Source organism: Homo sapiens, chromosome 5 (genome assembly GCF_000001405.40).
Source record: "Homo sapiens chromosome 5, GRCh38.p14 Primary Assembly".
Classification (NCBI taxonomy): Eukaryota; Metazoa; Chordata; class Mammalia; order Primates; family Hominidae; genus Homo; species Homo sapiens.
The window spans coordinates 80,821,471-80,844,112 of NC_000005.10; the positions used below are offsets into that span (position 1 = coordinate 80,821,471).

Sequence of the window (22,642 nt, forward strand, 5' to 3'; positions counted from 1 at the left end):
CAAACCCAGAGATACTGATCCCATATTTCAAAATTGACCACAACTTTAAAGCATTAATTAATTAATAAAGAATTACACGTGCCAGTTTAAAAAGAAATATGCAGATTATAGAGATTTAAATACTGAAATATGGGACATTTTCCTGTGCTCTGCCATTTGAGTAGCTGTTAGTTTATCAACCTTCAGGTCATGTTTATAGAAGCACTCTGCCACAGGGCCTGTGTCCCTGCATATTCTTACTGAGTATGCCAAGAAAGCCCCTGATTGCTTTTTACATGGGCCACTTATTTGTCAAAGTTGTGCTTGCAGCAAACAACCTGGAGGGATAAGTTAATTCTCCCCTTAAAGAGGAAGCTTGCTTCCCTTGTTGTATGCACAGCATCCATGGTACATCACCCTCACAGGACTTGGGGGCTAATGTAAACCAACATGAGTAATAAAGTCCTTTGTCTCTGACCCAGTGGCCTTGTGTCTTCTGCCGTTATCTGTGAAACCAGTGGTATTAGGGTAACCTGTTAGCTTTTAAGCAGAGTAAAATCCTAGACTTCACACAGTTTTTGATAGGTCAATAGGATTCTCAGATCTCTTGCTAATATTAATTACCTGCAAAATGTGAGTAAACCGGCTGTGTATGGGAAAGAATAGGGGCTTTAGATCTAGAAAACTCAAGATTCTGTACAAGTTCTCCAGCATCCTGGCCATGTGCAAGTTACTTCATCCTTCTAGAACCCTGAGAGAAGTACTGTGCCATAGTCAAGAGAATCAGACATGTTATACTTGAGCACAAATCTTGCTTTTCCCTTTTAACAACTATGTGACCTTTTTCAAATTACTACTTCTCAGTGTCTCAGTTCTTTTCCTGTAAAATGGAGTTGATACTGCTAACCCTCATATATTATTGTGGGAATTAAATAAAGTACATGAAAATGCCAGACACATTGTAGGTACCTAGTAAATTTTAGTTTTTTTTCTTCCAGATTCTATGCCATTAGTATTTTAGATTTAAAAGTCTGTCTTCATATATGTGTGAGTATAGTGCTCACTTTTCTAAACTTAGCATCGGTTTTTGCACCTATAAAACAAAAAGTTCGATAATACCGACTTCACAAGGTTGATTTGAGAATAAGTTTTGAAAGGATGTGAAATCACTATGAAGTGCTTCTCTTAGTTGTTCTCATTGAAAGAAGTTGACCAAATCTAATCTCCCTGACACTTTCCCTCTTGGAGCACTGTGGCCATAATAGAATTGAGAATCCAGGAACCTAGAGGCACCACCCACACAGAATGGGATAATGGCAGTGCCTTTCCTTCTGTTCCTCAGGAAGTGGCTGGCATGGAAGGTGGTCTCATGGAAGATGCACATCCTCCTCCATGCTGAGACATGCCTTTATCTCATGACTCAGGAACAGCCTTAAGGAACTGGCCCAATTGCCAATCACTGTGTGAAAGAACAACCACCAAATTTGTTGTTTCAGCATAGTAGGATTCATTCTCAATTTATTCCATCAAACATACTAGTTTTTTAGCTACTTCGGGATATATTTTGCAGTGACTTGGTCCTGGTGGGTAGTGTTATGTGGAAAGATACGCTTGTTACAATATGTGAAAAAGAGCCAGTTACAAAGCCTGGCATTCATTTCACTTTTGTATGAGTAATTGTATGTATAAATATATGTGGAGAAAACCATCTAGATAGAAGGCTTATTCCAAAATACCATGGGGGATATGGCTTTATGGTCATTTTTCTTTTACTTATGTAAATTTTTAAATTTCTAAAATAAATGTGTGAAAAAAGTAAAACCTCCTCACCCTCACAAACTACCAGTATTGGTCAAAATGAGATGTTTTATAGGAATCTGGTGAAATGCTTACATGGTCACTGTCTGACAACTCTTTTTTTCTGGGGCAAATATCTCTTTCCTACTCAGGGACGTGGAATTTGGGGTTTTAAGCTTTAGACCATCCTGGGCACTTCAATATATCAGACCTTACTTGTCCACAAAGTTTTTCCCAGACTATAAGTAACCCTAGTTCTTCTTCCTTTAGGAGTTGATGGCATTCTGTCTGGGAGAGAATACAAGATTCATGTATTTAATTTTCATAATAAAAACACTGCTCATATGGCACTCTTAATCTTCAGTGCACATTAAATTTTTTTTTTCCATGGAGCTTTAAAAAAAATACTGATGCCTGAACCCTACCTCCAGAAATCTTTTTTTGTTTTGTTTTGTTTTGTTTTGTTTTTATTGATCATTCTTGGGTGTTTCTCGCAGAGGGGGATTTGGCAGGGTCATAGGACAATAGTGGAGGGAAGGTCAGCAGATAAACAAGTGAACAAAGGTCTCTGGTTTTCCTAGGCAGAGGACCCTGCGGCCTTCCGCAGTGTTTGTGTCCCTGGGTACTTGAGATTAGGGAGTGGTAATGACTCTTAATGAGCATGCTGCCTTCAAGCATCTGTTTAACAAAGCACATCTTGCACCGCCCTTAATCCATTTAACCCTGAGTGGACACAGCACATGTTTCAGAGAGCACAGGGTTGGGGGCAAGGTCATAGATCAACAGCATCCCAAGGCAGAAGAATCTTTCTTAGTACAGAGCAAAATGGAGTCTCCTATGTCTACTTCTTTCTACACAGACACAGCAACAATCTGATTTCTCTGTCTTTTCCCCACATTTCCCCCTTTTCTATTCCACAAAACCGCCATCGTCATCATGGCCCATTCTCAATGAGCTGTTGGGTACACCTCCCAGACGGGGTGGCGGCCGGGCAGAGGGGCTCCTCACTTCCCAGAGGGGCGGCCGGGCAGAGGCGCCCCTCACCTCCCGGACGGGGTGGCGGCTGGGCGGAGGCGCCCCCCACCTCCCTCCCGGACGGGGCGGCTGGCCGGGTGGGGGCTGCCCCCCACCTCCCTCCAGGACGGGGGCTGCCCCCCACCTCCCTCCCAGACGGGGCGGCTGGCCGGGCGGGGGCTGCCCCCCACCTCCCTCCCAGAAATCTTAAGTTGGACTGGGGCATGGTCTGGAAGTCACATTTTAAAAGTGTCCCAGATGATTTCAAAGTGAAGCCAAGATGTGGAAGCACTTCCTCAAGCCCTCGCTGGAGAAATCATGTGTTGAATTATAAAAATAATAGGTGCTTATTATGAAATGTAACAGGTGTACTAGGGTATGAAGTGAAACAAAAACACCCCATTCTCCCCAGGTCTACCATGTTTCTTTAGGTAACATTTCACAAGTCTACAAGTATACATCTTTTCTTTTCTAAAATGGTATCATACTAAGCATTACTATTGTATAACTTGCTTTTGTTTCCTAATATGTGGGAGACATATTTCTCTATCAGTTTATACAGATTAGTCGTGCTCTTTTTAATGACTGCAGTGTATCTGGAGTACAGATACTCCTTGATTTCTTTAACCTCTGAGAGCTCCGTCTGGGACAGACTGCCCTTTAGTATATGGGACATGTTCCCTATCCATTCCACTGTGCTCCCACATCTTCCTGTTGTTACCACTGGAAAGGAATCTACATGGACTACATTAAATTTTATCCCTAGGATATAATTATATCCCATTAAATTATATCCCTAGGATATAGTTTAATATTACGCCCTTGTAGCTTTCATTGATTTTTTATGAAATAATTCAGACGTATAATAATCCTCCATGCACCTTCTACCCTACTAAAGAAATAAAACACTACAATACAATCGAACCTCTAATCCTCCCTAATCCCATTGCCCTCTACCCTATCCATAGTAACTAACTGGTTGTCCTTGACTTTGGTATCCATCCCATGCATTTCTCTACATTTTTACTCACTGATGTTTTTTGAAACAATGCATGGAAGTATTTGGTATGCTTTTAAACTTTACACACAGTGTATCACACTATATTCTTCTGTAAGTGGCTTTTTCCCCCCTCAGTGTTATATATTTATAAAATTCATATGGGTACATATACTTTGAGTTCATTAATTTTTCCCTAATTATGATAGTTTATTTTATGAATATATTACTATTCCCTCATTTTTCTTGATATGATGCCAATTTTTTGCAAATATAAACAGTCATATTTGTGACTTGTCTCATACTCAACTCCTAGTGCACACAAGGGAGTTTTTCTCAATCTAGGAGTGGAGTTGTTGGATTGTAAGGAACATGTGTCTTTCATGATCTCCAAGGAGGCTGTACCAGCTTAGAATCCCACCACCAGTGTTTAAAAGTTTGTTCTCATGCTTAAAATAGATTAGAATAAGAAATGTTCATTTGATGATATTTCTATATATTCTCCAAAATTGCTCATAAGAACATTTTCATTTTTATTACTTAATGTCCTTCACATGAAGTGCCATCTGGTAAATTATTTTTTTGTTAATGCTAGGGACATTTTTTCTCTCCATGTGCATACTGTGCCTGTTTACAAAAAGATTTGAAGCAATTTATTGGCCTTTTCTGACAAACTGCCAGGCTTCCTGCTATCAGCCAGTGGCTGCTTCCTCTTTAATTCCTTTTTGTCTTGGCTGCCAAGACAGCAAGAGCTAAACTCAAGGCTCAGGTGTGGAAACAAATTTGGCTTAGTTTTCCCCTTCGCTTCTTTTATGGGAGTATTTCTCTAGTGTCATTCTTAGAACAGCTGCATCAGAATCTTGGCGGTGCTAGTTAAAAATGCTACTTACTAAGCCCTTTCACACATCTTTTTAATTGGAATCTCCAAGGTGGTACACAAGAATTAGCATTTTAAAAGCTCATGCTAAGCTTAAATGTAAGAATCTACTGTATGGCTTGTAATCTTAGTTTCATGTAATTGTTTCATTAGAATATGTTATTGTAAATCACTTCAAATGCTTTTTGTACTCAATGGAAAAAATATTAAAATCTAGCAGAATGAGATATTTGCATAAGATTTAGCTCCAAGCTGTATCTGTAAATAGATTCTATTATCAATTGGCCATTTAGAACACTAGGTTTAAATCTGTGGATTCCATAAATATTCATTGAGTGCCCACTATGTGCTATACAGTGTGCAAGAAGAAGAAGTAAATGGATGAAACGCTATAAACAGACAGGAGGTTAGGAATTTTTTTTTTTTTTTTTGAGATGGAGTTTTACTCTTGTTGCCCAGGCTGGAGTGCAGTGGCATAATCTTGGCTCACTGCAACCTCTACCTCCTGGGTTCAAGCGATTCTCCTGCCTCAGCCTCCCAAGTAGTTGGGATTACAGGCATGTGCCACCACGCCCAGCTAATTTTTGTATTTTTAGTAGAGACGGAGTTTCACCACATTGGGCAAGCTGGTCTCGAACTCCTAACCTCAGGTAATCCACCTGCCTCGGCCTCCAGAAGTGCTAGGATTACAGGTGTGAGCCACCGCGCCCGGCCTCCAGAATCTTTTATCTGAATACTATAACCTCACATGAATCTTTTCCTGAATAAGAAGCAGATTTTTTTAAAAAGTAGAGTTTTGGCAAACACATACATTTGTTTCTAATGGATATATCTGTGCATTATGATATGTGTACTCATCGATGAAATATTTCTAGACCCATATTTCCAAGGATCATTAACATCCTTGAATGCATCACTGAGATAAGATCTGTTTATTATCTTGATGAATATAAACTTAAATCTCATCTAGCCTTTTAGACTCAGTAATTAAGTTTTAGAAAAGCAATGAATTATTAAGTCTCATTAGAAAACAGTTTGAAAAAAGCAAAACAATTGGCCTCTTCTCTCAGCATAATTTATTTCTATTAAACGTTGGTGATTAAGCGTTGATGAAAAGAGATATTTACTCGATGTGGCCCATAGCTAACAATTTTCATGCCATGCTACTTACACAAACTCCCTCTTCTGACACCCAGCTTCAGGGAATTCTGTGTACTCAGAGTGGCACGAGTGTGTTTTTCTTGAAAGAGAATTGGAAGATAATAGACATTCAAGTACTTAGTAACTTATTTGTTTGCCCAACTTAGTGTAATTCAGAAAATATTGAGCACTGACTGTGGAGTATTTGTACTCTATACAAAATATATTCTTTATGGACAGAAAGAAAACATCTTGAATCAGTCCACACCTTCTAATTAGTTGTAAATACCAGTACTAAAATCCACATGATAAGTGAGCACTAAATGAGTAAGTTGTTATGATTTTATTGGCATTAAAAATGTCATCTTATCAATATCTCTGTGCTTTCTTTAACTGTGTCTAGCAAACACTAGTTATCTTATTTCATCTTTTTCATGGGAAATTATTTTATGAATTTAAGGCTTGTTCCTTTAATTAGCTTCCTCAAAGTCACCTGAAGGTTTGGTTTGATTTGGTTTTAAATGCAAATCCCAGGCAAATCTTCTGATTGAAGATCCCCTGGAGATAGATACTGTTGTAGTAGGTATGATGAAGGAGGCCTTTAGACACTATTTTTTTAAAAAAGACTTTAATTTTTCAGAGCAGTTTTAGGCTTACACCAAAACTGAGAGGAAGGTATAGAGAGTGTCCATCTACACTTACCACTGCCCCTGCACAGCCTCCCCCATTTTCAGCATCCCCCACCAGAGTACTCCCTTTCTTACAATTGATGAACCTACATTGGCACATCATTACCACCCAAAGTCCATAGTTTACATGAGGGCTCATTGGGTAATTGATAAACAAAGTAAATTTATTACAGTTCTGTAGACTGGGAAGTCCGAGGTCAAGGGGCTACATCTGGTATGGGCCTTCTTACTGCCTCATAAAATGGCAGAAGGCATCACATGGCAAGGGGGCTTACTAGAGAAAACCAAACTGGCTTTTACAACAGACCCACTCTAGTGAAAGTAACCCACTCCTATGATAACCCATTGATTCATTACCCCTTAATCCATTAATCCCCAAATGGATTAATCCATTCATAAGGGCAGAGCCCTGATGACCCAGTCACCTCTTAAAGGCCCCACTTAATACTGTTACATTGGGAATTCAATTTCAATGTGAGTTTTAGAGGGGACAAACATTCAAACCACAGCATTCTGCCCCTGGCCCCCACAAATTCTATGTCCTTCTCATATACAAATACATTCATTCCATGTTTATAGCCCCAAAGTCTAGAGTCTCATCGAATCAGATGTGAGTAATGCTCAAAGGACAATTCATCTTGAGGTAAATTTCTTACAGCTGTGAGCCTGTGAAATGAACGTGTTACCTACTTCCAAAATAAATGGTGGGACAGGTGTAAGACATTCTCATTTCATAAGGGAGAGATAGGCAAGAAGAAAGGGGTAACAGGTCCCAAATAAGTCCAACACCCAAAGGAAAAACTAAGCCTTGAGGCTCCAGAGTAATCTTCCTTGGTTCCATGTCTTGCTTCCTAGATACACCAGTGTGAGGATTGGATCCCAGGGCCTCAGGCAGCCCCACCACCTAGGCTTTCCTGGGCTCTCCCAGGCTTCAGTTCTCACAAGTAACAGTCAAGTGCCTGCAGCTTTCCCAGGCTGGAGCTGAATGCTGGCAGTTCTACAGTTCTGAGATCTCAGCGAGGTTCTGTTCTCTCTGCTCCACTAGACATTACCCCACTTGGGGTTGTCTGTCCTGGCTCTGGCTCTGACCCCACATTTTTGCTTGGCATTAATCCACGAATGGATTAATTCATTTATGAGGGCAGAGCCCTCATCACCCAATCACCTCTTAAATGCCCCACCTCTTAGTACTGTTACATTGGAGATTAAGTTTCAACTTGAATTTCAGAAGGGTCAAAATTTGAACCAAAGTACTGTTTATTTCCTTTTCCTGTCTTATTGCATTAACTAGTACTTCCACTGCAGTGTTGAAAAGGAGTGGTAAGAGGTGACAGCTTCCTATTTTGGCTGATCCTAGTTGGAAAAGCTTCAAGTTTCTCACCATTAAGTATGATGTTAGCTATAGGTTTTTTTGTGAATATTCCTTATCAAGTTGAGGAAGTTCTCCTCTATTCTTAATTTACTGAGAGTTTTTATCATGAATGGGTGTCGGATTTTATCAAATGCTTTCTATGCGTCTGTTGATATGATCATGTGATTTTTCTTCTTTAGCCAGTTGATGTGATGGATTATGTTAACTGGTGATCAAATGTTCACCCAGTCTTGCACACTTAGGATGAGTCCTACTTAGTTATGGTCTGTTTTTCTTTTTATACATTGTTGGATTCATTTTGCTAATATTTTATTGAGGATTTTTGCATCTATGTTCATGAGAGATATTGGCCTGTAGTTTTCTTATAATGCCTTTGTCCGGTTTTGGTATTAAGGTAATGCTGGCCTTATAGAATGTGTCAGGAAGTATTCCCTCTGCTTCTATTGTCTGAAACAGATTATAGAGAATTGGTCTAATTTCTTCCTTAAATGTTTGATAGAATTCACCAGTGAAGCCATTTGTGCCTGGTGTTTTCTATTTTAGAAGGTTAATACTTATTGATTCAATTTCTTTAATAGATACAGGCCTATTCAGATTGTCCCTGTCTTTTTGTGGGAGTTTTGACAGATTGTATCTTTCAAGGAATCAGTCTGTTTTATCTAGGATATGAAATTTATGGCCATAACACTTTACAGTATTCCTTTATTATCTTTTTAATGCCCATGAGATCTGTGGTGATGTCTCCTCTTCTATTTTTAATATTAGTAATTTGTATCCTCTCTCTTTTTTTCTTAGCCAAGCTAGAAATTATTAATTTTCTTGATCTTTTCAAAGAATTAGCTTTTGGTGTTGTTGATTTTTCTCTATTGATTTTCTATTTCCAATTTCACTGATTTCTGCTGTAATCTCATCATTTATTGTCTTCTGCCTACTTCAGATTTAATTTACTTTCCTGTTTCTGGTTTGCCCTTGAACTCTTATTTTTAAGAATCTCTACAAGTGACTCTGATGCACAAATTTAGGAGCCATTGTTTGCATTTTAATTTCTAACATTTTATAGGAAGAAAAACAGGATCAGAGAGAGATTTTGTTTTGCATGAGGTTATAATGTGTGCAGTTTATAAGGATGCAGCCTCTGGTTATATTGGGTTCCCCTGTATTCATCTTATTGATTTATCTGATTAATTTTATCCATGATGACAGATTAATCTTCCTTTGACAACCTTAATTATGTGTAGTTTTCCTAGCTATAGTTAACATTGAGTGAAATCATTTGCTCTGTTAATTATTTTTCTTTGCAGTTCTTGGGACTTTCCCACAAAGTGGACTACTAGCTATGTTAGAGGATGAGTTGCCCAGTCAGCACAGTGTGGATTTTCTTTGAAGGAAAATACCTGTGTCCTTCGTAAGTGTCCTACACATGCTTTATAGACAGGGCCAGGGAACACTGTCATGTGAGCCTGTAGAAATTTAGAATTTTTCTGGATTGTTCTCTTGATTCTCATCAGTGTTTCCACGGAAATTGAAAGATTGCTACAGTGGGTTTTGCTTGATTATATGTGCAGTTTAGTATTATAACTTTTATAAATAAACTTTAAATACTGTAGTGTGATCTTATTGCAATCATTAGAAGGAAGGATTATATGAGAGAAACTTTTTTTTCTATTATAATACACATGCTTCTCAAGTTAAAATGGGACTATGCCCTGATAAACCCATCATAAGTCAGAAACATCATAAATCAAAAATGCACTTAATACTCCAGTAAGCTCGTTATAAAATTTTAAAATAATAAGTCAGGGATTGTCTGTAATTTTACTTATGCTAATAAATGTTTTTCATATTGCTAGAAGAAGGCTAGTTATTTCTGCCTTGTCTTAACAGAATGATACGATATAATTCTTAAATGTATCATTTGTGATTTTTAAAAATAACATTTGTTTTTCTAATTACACAAGTAATGCATGTTCATTATGCAAAATTTTAAACTCAAAATTTTTTAATCACTTGTAATTCCACCACCTGGAGATCATTGTTGTTTAGGTAGATGGCTTTCCAGGCTTTTTTAAAGTGCACATATGTAGTGGTAAATCATTTGTAATTTCATTCCATTTCTGAGTTATTGTTTATGTTTAATTAAATACAAGACAGATTTACTAATTCACGCTTTTTATGCCTTTTAAATACCATATGGTGCCTACATATCTTTTAGTAATTGGTATTCTCTTACAGTCTTTCCTCTACTTGGACTTTAGTTTTTTGGGGTGTTTTTCTTCCTTATACCATCCTTCTTAAAAGTTAGAGTACTTTGTTAGTTAGGAGATTAGCTATCTTTTGTAAAATGTATGTAATATCCAAAAAAAAAAAAAACAAGCTTTGACTTAGACATCCATTTTGGACAGAGTTCAAAGTTTTTAGCAACCTGAAGTGAATGGGAACATCTTCAGTTTCAGAAAGCACACAAAATAAACTAACTCTTAAAACCTCTCCAGGTTGGGCGTGGTGGCTGACTCCTGTAATCCCAGCACTTTGGGAGGCCGAGGCGGGTGGATCACGAGGTCAGGAGATCGAGACCATCCTGGCTAACACGGTGAAACCCTGTCTCTACTAAAAATACAAAAAAATTAGCCGGGTGTGGTGGCGGGGCGCCTATAGTCCCAGCTACTCGGGAGGCTGAGGCAGGAGAATGGCGTGAACCCGGGAGGCGGAGCTTGCAGTGAGCTGAGATCGCGCCACTGCACTCCAGCCTGGGCGACAAGGCGAGACTCCTTCTCAAAAAACAAAAAAACAAAAAAACAAAAAAAACTCTCCCATACAAAGCACTTAGAGGATAAATCTATATTCCACTTATATGAGATGCCTAGAATAAGCACATTCATAGAGACAGAAAATATGGGGAAAGGGGAGAGTTTTCCAGGATGGGGAAAGGGGAGAGTAAAGAGTTACTCTTAATGGATACAGAGTTTCTCTTTCTGTTTCTGATGAAAAAGTTCTGCAAATGGAGGCCTGGCATGGTGGCTCACGCCATAATCCCAGCACTTTAGGAGGCTGAGGTGGGCAGATAACCTGAGGTCAGGAGTTAAAGACCAGGCTGGCCAACATGGTGAAACTCTGTCTCTAGTAAAAATACAAAACTTATACAGGGTGGTGGTGCAAGCCTGCAATCCTAGCTACTCAGGAGGCTGTGGCAGGAGAATCTCTTGAACCTGGGAGGCAGAGGTTGTGGTAAGCTGAGATTGTCCCACTGCACTCCAGCCTCGGTGACAGAGTAAGACTCCATTAAAAAAAAAAAAAAATTCTGTAAATGGAAAGTAGTGATGGCTACACAACATTGTGGATGTTAATACCACTGAGCTGTGTACCTAAGAAATGCTAAAATGGTAAATTTTATTATTTTTATATATATATATCATAATTTTTAAAAGCACTTGAAGTATGTCCAATAATACTGTTGTAATAGGAATAATCATTGCCTCTACTTAACAATTTTAATATTTAAGCTCTAGTTATCATTCAATATGAAAAGTCCTCTTTTCCTAATTGCAGTATTTCTCCCTTATACTAGCATTTTCCTTGCAAAAGGCCCAGAGATTGTGATTTGAAGGGACAGAAGCCCACTCCATTTGCCTGAGAGACATCTAGAATATTATCTCAAAATAGTAAGATCTCATAAAAACAAACTGTTTTTCAAATTTCCATGAAAGTGTTTTTTATTTTAGAAACTGACCCAAAAAAGTACTAATTTCTTTTTTCCACAATGCTTTATTAAGCTTTGTTGACCTATATAAGGGTTATAGGCGAGGAGGGGAGTAGGGGGATTAGAAAGATTAGTCAGCTGCCACTCCTAAAAATATCAGAGTGATTTTTTTTTTCCTTAATCACATAACTGTAACCTTCTGTCTACTCAGGGCAAACTAACTTTAAGATGAAACCTAAAGAATGGATTTTTCATTTTTTACTACATTTGACTGTAAATACAGACAGCTTGATAATAATAACATATGCTGTGGAATTCCCTAAATCTCTAACATATTTTAACATCATTGTCTAGTATAGTATGTCTTATAAATGATTGTTGATTTAATAAAAACTATAAACTTTATTTATTTTTTTGTTTTTTTGTTTTGAGATGGAGTCTCGCTCTGTCGCCAGGCTGGAGTGCAGTGGCACCATCTCGGCTCACTGCAACCTCCACCTCCCGGGTTCAAGTGAGTCTCCTGCCTCAGCCTCCTGAGTAGCTGGGACTACAGGAGCGTGCCACCACACCCAGCTAATTTTTGTATTTTTAGTAGAGATGGGGTTTCACCATGTTGGCCAGGATGGTCTCGATCACTTGACCTCATGATCCGCCCACGTCAGCCTCCCAAAGTGCTGGGATTACAGGCGTGAGCCACCTCGCACAGCCAAACTTTCTTGTTAATGTATATCTTGTCTTGCTTCTAAAACTGATTTTAGGCGTGAGCCACTGCGCCCAGCCATCTTAGGCACTTTACTGAGATATTTACAACATAGCAGAATAATAAGAGAAGAGAATGGTATCAAAGACTCTGGATCAGAGAGAAAATAAGAATTGAATTATGATATAAAGCCAGGTATAAGATGTTATTCAGTTGTTTTCTAGTAATCAAGCTAGAATAAATAAACTATACATTTCTTAAAGGAAATTAACAGGAAATACGTTTATCAATAAACAGTTCCCACAATTATAAATGCATACTTCCCCAGTAGCCTTGATGACTGGTTCATGAGCCAGTATTTCTTCAGTGTGTATTCAGCATTGCTACTTCCATTGGTACTACATCCGTACCATCAGGTGCTATGGAAAAATAGAATTGTAATAGAAAATGTGTTGGCTCCTAATGCAGTGGCCTTCAAACTACCCTCCAGGGTGTGAGTCCCACAGAGCCGCCTCAGAATAACAGGCCTAATAGTCCTGGGTTCTTAACCAGAGCAAACATCATTCATTGTATCTAATCTGCAGAGTGAATTTTCTTATAAAATATTAAATATTTTATATTAAAATATATTTTAAATATTTAAAAAGTTCTACAAATGGAAAGCAGTGATGGCTACACAACCTTGTGGATGTTAATACCACTGAACTGTGTACCTAAGAAATGCTAAAATGGTAAATTTTATGTTATATATATTTATCATAATTTTTAAAAGCACTTGAAGTAAGTCAAAGAATCCTCCTGTAATAGAAATAATCATTGCCTCTACTTAACAATTTTAATATTTAAACTCTAGTTATTACATTTTAAATATAATTAAAATATATTTTTAGTTTAAATACTTAATAAAAATAAATACTTAAAATATATATAAATATAAAATAATAATACTTAAAAATAATAAAGTAAAAATATTATTTGAACAAAGGATTTAACAGCTAAAAAGATATTTTGAAACCTCTGACCTAGTACTAGAGTCAAGACCATTGCCTAATAAAAGTATGTCCAAGATCTCCTGAACACTGGCCTGCCCTCCTTAAGAAAGAAACCCTATAATACCATGAGGCATGTAGGGGTGACTCAAAAAACTCCAGGCCAGAAACCAGAACACCTAATAAGTATTTGTCTCTTGTCTGCCACAGATTAGCCCTGTCACCTTGAGGAAGTGGCTTGACCTCTGAAATGTCTTATCTCATCTATAAAATAGGAGTATAAAATGATTACTAAGAACTTGTCCAGCACCAAGACTTTTTCAAAATTCTTTCTCTTGCCTCAAAGATGGCAAAGAATGTGCCATCAGACAAGCTCTTCCCTTCTGTCAAAAGAGAAGAACCATTGGAGAAAGAAATGACCAAATTCTATGTAGAGAGCTTGAGCAAGAAGAAAAAATGTAGGGGAAGGGTAAATAGCTCTGTCTAGAGCAATTGGCTTTTGTTGTTTACAGCTTGTCTATGTCAGACCATCCCGTAGGAAAAGTTTGGTAAGAACAAAGACCTTTGATAAAAGATGACTGAGAGACTGTCTGGGGTTTGATGCAAAGATCATCAGAGGCATCTACAAATGAGTAGTCACCAGTGACAAAATCTCAAAGCGAGGCAGGCTGGAGAATGGGCGATCTGTTAGTCTTGCCAGAGAGGAAGGTATTAGCAAAGGCAGATTGAATAAGCGGAAGGTAAAAAAATAAAAAGCAGCAATAGCATTTTTTTTTTACATATACTTCATTAGCACAGGTTTGGCTTTACCAATATAGGAAAGGCATTTTTACACTAATTAGGTCATTGTGAAAAAGAAAAATTGGAGTTATTTTTTAAATGCAGTGTTTTTAACTAAGAAGAAAATATGAGACCGGGTATGGTGGCTCATGCCTGTAATCCTAGCACTTTGGGAGCCTGAGGTGGGTGGATGACTTGAGGTCAGGAGTTCGAGACCAGCCTAGCCAACAGGGTGAAACCCTGTCTCTACTAAAAATACAAAAACTAGCTGGGCATGGTGGCACATTCCTATAGTCCCAGCTACTCGGGAGGCTGAGGCACGAGAATTACTTGAACCCTGGAGGTAGAGGTTACAGTGAGCTGAGATTGCACCACCGTACTCCAGCCTGGGCAACAGAGAGACTGTCTCAAAAAAAAAAGAAAGAAAATATTAATACTGTGGAGGTTATGTGACAGTCTTTAATAACAACAACCAGTTATATTACTATAATAAGCTTTCCATGAAAACACCAAAAAGTACTTTTTGATATCTTATTAAAAATTAAGATTCTGTCATATTTCTTAGAATTATATACATTATAATTTTATGTTTTTTAGAATAAACTCAGCAATACTGTACAAGGATATCGTAATCTATATGGAAGCACAAAGGAACATATAAATTTAAATCCTTTTGCTCCATGATCAGTCACTTCTTTTCATTTTAAACTTTAATTTTGGACATTCACAAAATTGTTAACTCTTGAGTGATGTGGATTGAGTAAGTTGTATTACAATTGTAAAAACAAATGATTCATTTCAACTTGTATTGAACATCTTATGTGCAAGACACTCTGCTTAACACTTGAGGGGACTACAGAGATAAATCAGTGAGGTCAGTTCTATGGGAGGGGAATCAGGGACAGCTACACAGAAGCAGCTTAAGGATGATAAGGCTTCCAGTCCACAGAAAGAGAGGGGTGAAGATGATTCCAGTATAATGGAACCATGAGAACACACAGAGGAATAAAGGTGTGTCACATCAGCTCTTTGAATATGCCACAAAAAAAAAAAAAAAAAAAAAAAGCTCTGAATTAGTTTTCCCTCAGTATCTGCTGGGGACTGGTTTCAGGACCCCCCAGTATGAAAATCTGCAGATGATCACATCCCTGATATAAAGTGGGATATTTGCATATAACCTGTGCACATCCTCCTCGATACTTTAAATCATCTCCAGGTTACTTAGAATACCTAGTGTAATGTAAATGCTATGTAAAGAGTTCCTATACTGTATTATTTTTAACATTTATATTATTTTGTATTGTTTTTTATTTTTATTGAATATTTTCGATCCACAGTTGATTGAATCTGCGGTTGCAGATACGGAGAGCTGATTGTATACCCTCTAAAAGGATGAATTTTATGCTATGTCACTTATATCTTAATAAAGCTATTATTTTTCAAAAGTACATGCCGTGTGTTAGAGATGGCAAGGATAAATTGTTGTCATGGTGACATGGGATCCTGTGTTGTGCAGAAGGAGAGGAGACTGGAGAGAGGTGTAGGATCAGACCACACAGAGGGTCTTGAAAACCATGCTAGGAATTTTGAATTTTATTTTCCAGGCATTAGTAAAACATTGTAAGTTTTTAAGCATAGGAATCAAAATGACTCCATTGATTTTAAAATACGGAGCTAAAAGATAAATTAGCTGTTAGTAAAAGTGAAGGTGGAGAGGAAAAACTAGGCTATTGGAACAGCTTCGACCAAAGAGTGTAAATTAGTGAAACTAGTTTGCAAGAATACTAGGGACAGGGGTCAGGCACGGTGGCTCACGCCTATTATCTCAGCACTTTGGGAGGCTGAGGCAGGAGGATCACTTGAGCTCACAAGTTCGAGACCAGCCTAGGCAATGTGGCAAAACCCCATCTCTACCAAAAATACAAAAATTAGCCAGGCATGGTGGTGCACGCCTGTGGTCCCAGCTACTCAGGAGGCTGAGGTGGGAGTTCGCTTGAACCTGGGAGGTTGAGGCTGCAGTGAGCCAAGATCGTACCATTGTACTCCAGCCTGCGTAACAGAGCCAGACCTTGTCTAAAAAAATAAAATAAAAATGCTGGGGACTGGATATTGCATCTTAAAGGGGCAAGGAAAATGAAAGAAAATGCTGAATTCTCATTTTCATATTTATAGAACAAAGATACTGTATTATTTTTCTGAACTGTGTAACCAACTATCACAAATTTAGCAGCTTGAGCAACACACATTTATTATATCAACATTTCTGTGGTTCATGACCCCAGACACAGCTTAGCTAGGGTTGTGTGAGGCTGTGGTTAAGGTATTGGCCAGGGTGGGATTCTCACCTTGAGTCAGGACTAGAGATGCATCCACTTTCAGAATTACCCAGGTTGCTGGCAGAATTCATTTCCTTGAGGTTGTGAGTCTGAGGTCCTCAGCTTCTTGCCAGCTGTAGGCTGGGGACTGCTCTCAGCTCCTAGAGGATGCTTGCAGATCACATGGCCCTCTCAACATGACAGTGAACTTCTTCAAAGCCAGCTGGGGAGAAAGTCTCTAGCACTAGTTGACTGGCAAAACATACAACATCATATAATCGTGAAATTAATATCTCATCACCTTTGCCATAGTCTGATGGTTCAAAGCAAGTTACAGGTCCCACTCACAATAAGAGGAGGAAATTATCCAAGGGGGTGAACACCAGAAAGTGGAGATGGTTGGGGTCACTATAGAGCATGTCCACCACAGGTACTTTTCAGCCTCTTAAAGTACAGTAGAGTGTCCTCTAAAGCCGAGTGAGCAGAGTGTAGACTCTGGCGTCAGACCGAGCCAGGTTTGAATCCTGACTCCATGACTGACTATCCTTTTGAGCACTAAACCTCAGTCTCCTCATTTGTACATAGGGATAAAGATCTACGTCTCATGATGTGGTGTCAGGACAAAATGAGATAATGCCGGTAAAACACTTCAGTGAGTGCCCAAGACAGGAAAATTGCTCACATATGTTATCACATTTGAGTCTCAGCTACCATGAGAAGTAATTGAAAAGTTTTCCATTAAATGATTTACCTATATTAAATCAGTTTTTGCTCTTGAGTAAACTTAATCTAATGGACTTTTTGCTATATCATTGTGAGCATGGATTAATACATTCATGAAAAATCACTAGACTTGAGTAGAGGATTTTTTTTTTAATCAACCTCTTCTTTTTACAGACAAGGAAGCTACAACCACATAGAAAAGTTATCCGACTTGCCTAAGATCTCACAGTACTTAGTGGCTAAGCCAGGACTAGAGTGATGGCCTATTTATGCAAGTTACTGCTGTTTCTACCATGTTTAGCTGTGTGACATAAATTTTTAATTACGACATTTATACATTTTTTCACTCAATCTTGTAGACTAGAAGCTCCTTTTTCAATGAGACAGCTAATTTTTTAATGCCAAGAAATAGATACATAGAAAAGTTCAAGGCCTTAGCCCTAAAATAAGAATTTGCAAACTTCTAGTGACAGTACTCAATCTCTCTGAATGTCTCTATTGTTTAAGACGTGATCTGATGTTTTAACTTTAAATTAAACTAAATTGGCTGGGTGCGGTGGCTCAAACTTGTAATCCCAACACTTTGAGAGGCTGAGGCAGGCGGATCACTTGAGGCGAGGAGTTTGAGACCAGCATGGCCAACATACCGAAACCCCATCTCTACTAAAAATACAAAATATTAGCCAGGTGTGGTGGCGTGCACCTATAGTCCCAGCTGCTTGGGAGGCTGAGGCGTGAGAATCACTTGAACCCTGGAGGTGAAGGTTACAGTGAGCTGAAATTGTGCCACTGCAATCCAACCTGGACAACAGAGTGAGACTCTGTCTCAATAAAATAAAATAAATTTGCTACTTATATGTGTATGTGTCTTCACACTGTATATCTGGGCACGCTCTATATTTTTTGAACCGATTCTTAAGGGTATCCCAATGATAGTAATGAAAATAAGCAGCATGAAATTTTATAGCCATCCTAGAACAATATTTCCTGTGTATTTTAATCCACTGGAATTGGGAAAGAAGGATTGATTATGTTGTTTTCATTTAATGTCCATTTATCAATCTCCATCTTTGTGTCAGATGTTTGCTAGGTGCTTGGGGGATGAGAAAGGGTCACCACATGACCATAATCCTCCTACCCAGAGATAACTACTCTAAACATGTTGATAGCCTTCTATATATATTTTTTGCACATGTAGTTTTTAATATAAAAAGTGACACAATAAAATACTTTCAAAAATTATAATTACAGAAGCAGTGGCTGTCATGGTAGGAGGAAACTAAAGCAAATCAGAGGGCACAAAACTGAAAACTAGGAGGATTCCCATTTCCTCCCAACCCCCTGCTACCCTCCCCAGCCCTACTCACTAGAGGCAACCACTGAGTGGTCCCTGATTTTCTTCTGGTAGTTAACATTATATTCATATAAAATATTTTAACTCTGGTTTTAGATTTATTAGCTTTAGACAGTATCTGTTAACCTTTTGCTATAAAATATGAAGAAATTTTTTATCAATTCAAGCTTGAGCCGTTCTTCTTCTCAGCTTCCAGTTTCTAAAACTGTTTTTACCTTGAAAAGGTCTCTGACATTTATTATTACTGGTGTATTATCTCTTGTGCTTTTTCATAGGCTAGTTTAAAAATGGAATGCATTATTGTGATCACATGTTACATGTGTATTCTCTTTAGAGCTAAATATATATGTATATCATTCTAAGGTACTAAACTTTGTTGTTTGACAAACCTGACAAAACAAGCAATGGGGAAAGGAAAGGGGAATCTTCTAGGCATCCCAGTCTAAAACTCTTCATTTCTATCCAGCTTTTTTCACTTCTTCCATTTCGACTGCTACTCTTCCTTGTATCTCATGTTATTATCTTCCTTGAATATTCTTTTTTTTTTCTTTGCTCTGTTGCCCAGGCTGGAGGGCAGTGGCATAATCTCAGCTCACTGCAAACTCCGCCTCCCAGGTTCAAGCAATTCTCGTGCCTCAACCTCCCGAGTAGCTGGGATTATAGGCACTTGCCACCACACCCGGCTAATTTTTGGGTTTTTGTTGTTGTTGTTTTTATTATACTTTAAGTTCTAGGGTACATGTGCACAACGTACAGGTTTGTTACATAGGTATACATATGCCATGTTGGTTTGCTGCACCCATCAACTCGTCATTTACGTTAGGTATTTCACCTAATACTATCCCTCCCCCAGCCCCCTACCCCTAACAGGCCCCGGTGTGTGATGTTCCCCGCCCTGTGCCAATGTGTTCTCATTGTTCAACACCCACCTATGAGTGAGAACATGCAGTATTTGGCTGCATAGTATTCCATGGTGTATGTGTGCCACATTTTTTTTTAAATTTTAAGAAATGCTCTTTTTTTTTAATATACTTTAAGTTCTAGGGTACATGTGCACAACGTGCAGGTTTGTTACATATGTATACATGTGCCATGTTGGTGTGCTGCACCCATTATCTTGTCATTTACATTAGGTATATATCCTAATGCTATCCCTCCCCACTCCCCCCACCCCACGACAGACCCCGGTGTGTGATGTTCCCCTTCCTGTGTCCAAGTGTTCTCATTGTTCAGTTCCCACCTATGAGTGAGAACATGCAGTGTTTGATTTTCTGTCCTTGCAATAGTTTGTGAGAATGATGGTTTCCAGCTTCATCCATGTTCCTACAAAGTACATGAACTCATCCTTTTTTATGGCTGCATAGTATTCCATGGTGTATATGTGCCATATTTTCTTAATCCAGTCTATCATTGATGGACATTTGGGTTGGTTCCAAGCCTTTGCTATTGTGAATAGTGCCACAATGAACGTACGTGTGCATGTGTCTTTATAGCAGCATGATTTATAATCCTTTGGGTATATACCCAGTAATGGGATGGCTGGGTCAAATGGTATCTCTAGTTCTAGATCCTTGAGGAATCGCCACACTGTCTTCCACAATGGTTGAACTAGTTTACACTCCCACCAACAGTGTAAAAGCGTTTCTGTTTCTTCACATCCTCTCCAGCATCTGTTGTTTCCTGTCTTCTTAATGATCATTGTTCTAACTGGAATGAGATGGTATGTCATTGTGGTTTTGATTTGCATTTCTCTGGTGACCAGTGATGATGAGCATTTTTTCATATGTCTGTTGGCTGCATGAATGTTTTCTTTTGAGAAGTGTCTGTTCATATCCTTTGCCCACTTTTTGATGGGGTTGTTTGTTTTTTTCTTGTAAATTTGTTTAAGTTCTTTGTAGATTCTGGATATTAGCCCTTTGTCAGATGGGTAGATTGCAAAATTTTTCTCCCATTCTGTAGGTTGCCTGTTCACTCTGATGACAGTTTCTTTTGCTATGCAGAAACTTTTTAGTTTAATTAGATCCCATTTGTCAATTTTGGCTTTTGTTGCCATTGCTTTTGGTGTTTTAGTCATGAAGTCCTTGCCCATGCCTATGTCCTGAATGGTATTGCCTAGGTTTTCTTCTAGGGTTTTTATGGTTTTAGGTCTTACATGTAAGTATTTAATCCATCTTGAGTTAATTTTTGTATAAGGTGTAAGGAAGGGATCCAGTTTCAGCTTTCTACATATGGCTAGCCAGTTTTCCCAGCACCATTTATTAAGTAGGGAATCCTTTCCCCATTGCTTGTTTTGTCAGGTTTGTCAAAGATCAGATGGTTGTAGATGTGTGATGTTATTTCTGAGGCCTCTGTTCTATTCCATTGGTCTATATATCTGTTTTGGTACCAGTACCATGCTGTTTTGGTTACTGTAGCCTTGTAATAAAGTTTGAAGTCAGGTAGCATGATGCCTCCAGCTTTGTTCTTTTTGCTTAGGATTGTCTTGGCAATGCAGGCTCTTTTTTGGTTCCATATGAAGTTTAAAGTACTTTTTTCCAATTCTGTGAAGAAAATCAGTGGTAGCTTGATGTGGGAGATAGCACTGAATCTATAAATTACCTTGGGCAGTATGGCCATTTTCACAATATTGATTCTTCCTATCCATGAGCATGGAATGTTCTTCCATTTGTTTGTGTCCTCTTTTATTTCGTTGAGCAGCGGTTTGTAGTTCTCCTTGAAGAGGTCTTTCACATCCCTTGTAAGTTGTATTCCTAGGTATTTTATTCTCTTTGTAGTAATTGTGAATGGGAGTACACTCATGATTTGGCTATTTGTCTATTATTGGTGTATAGGAATGCTTGTGATTTTTGCACATTGATTTTGTATCCTGAGACTTTGCTGAAGTTGCTTATCAGCTTAAGGAGATTTTGGGCTGAGACGATGGGGTTTTCTAAATATGCAATCATGTCATCTGCAAACAGGGACAATTTGACTTCCTCTTTTCCTAACTGAATACCCTTTATTTCTTTCTCTTGCCTGATTGCCCTAGCCAGAACTTCCCATACTATGTTGAGTAGGAGGGGTGAGAGAGAGCATCCTTGTCATGTGCCGGTTTTCAAAAGGAATGCTTCCAGTTTTTCCCATTCAGTATGATATTGGCTGTGGGTTTGTCATAAATAGCTCTTATTATTTTGAGATACATTCCATCAATATCTAGTTTATTGAGAGTTTTTAGCTTGAGGGGCTATTGAATTTTGTTGAAGGCCTTTTCTACATCTATTGAGATAATCATGTGGTTTTTGTCATTGGTTCTGTTTATGTTTCGGATTACACTTACTGATTTGTGTATGTTGAAGCAGCCTTGCATCCCATAGATGAAGCTGACTTGATCGTGGTGGATAAGCTTTTTGATGTGCTGCTGGATTTGGTTTGCCAGTATTTTATTGAGGATTTTCGCATTGATGTTCATCAGGGATATTGGTCTAAAATTCTCTTTTTTTGTTGTGTCTCTGCCAGGTTTTGGTATCAGGATGAGGCTGGCCTCATAAAATGAGTTAGGGAGGATTCCCTCTTTCTCTGTTGATTGGAATAGTTTCAGAAGGAATGGTACCAGCTCCTCTTTGTACCTCTGGTAGAATTCGGCTGTGAATCCGTCTCGTCCTGGACTTTTTTTGGTTGGTGGGCTATTAATTATTGCCTCAATTTCAGAACCTGTTACTGGTTTATTCAGAGTTTCAACTTCTTCCTGGTTTAGTCTTGGCATGGAGTATATGTCCTGGAATTTATCCATTTCTTCTAGATTTTCTAGTGTATTTGCATAGAGGTGTTTATAATATTCTCTGATGGTAGTTTGTATTTCTGTGGGATCGGTGGTAATGTCCCCTTTATCATTTTTTATTGCGTCTATCTGATTCTTCTCTCTTTTGTTCGTTATTAGTCTTGCTAGCAGTCTATCAATTTTGTTGATCTTTTCAAAAAACTAGCTCCTGGATTCATTGACTTTTTGAAGGATTTTTTCTATCTCCTTCAGTTCTGCTCTGATCTTAGTTATTTCTTGCCTTCTGCTTGCTTTTGAATTTGTTTGCTCTTGCTTCTCTAGTTCTTTTAATTGTGATGTTAAGGTGTCGATTTTAGATCTTTCCTGCTTTCTCTTGTGGGCATTTAGTGCTATAAATTTCCCTCTACACACTGCTTTAAATGTGTCCCAGAGATTCTGGTATGTTGTGTCTTTGTTCTCATA

At 38.3% G+C, this 22,642-nt stretch overlaps 1 protein-coding gene across 1 annotated transcript in view, besides 2 other annotated features; it reads left to right on the top strand.

The window, feature by feature from the left end:
- MSH3 (mutS homolog 3) overlaps positions 1-22,642 on the top strand; it is a 222,164-nt gene that overhangs the window by 166,819 nt on the left and 32,703 nt on the right. The window lies entirely within an intron of this gene.
- Positions 4,417-4,617: a silencer, noted in NCBI's record as "peak5311 fragment used in MPRA reporter construct". NCBI's record gives its function as "represses an SCP1 promoter by STARR-seq MPRAs in K562 erythroleukemia cells {active_cell/tissue: K562}" and the evidence as "EXISTENCE:reporter gene assay evidence [ECO:0000049][PMID:32103011]".
- Positions 16,504-16,553: an enhancer, noted in NCBI's record as "active region_22728". NCBI's record gives its function as "activates an Ori minimal core promoter by ATAC-STARR-seq in GM12878 lymphoblastoid cells {active_cell/tissue: GM12878}" and the evidence as "EXISTENCE:reporter gene assay evidence [ECO:0000049][PMID:35858748]".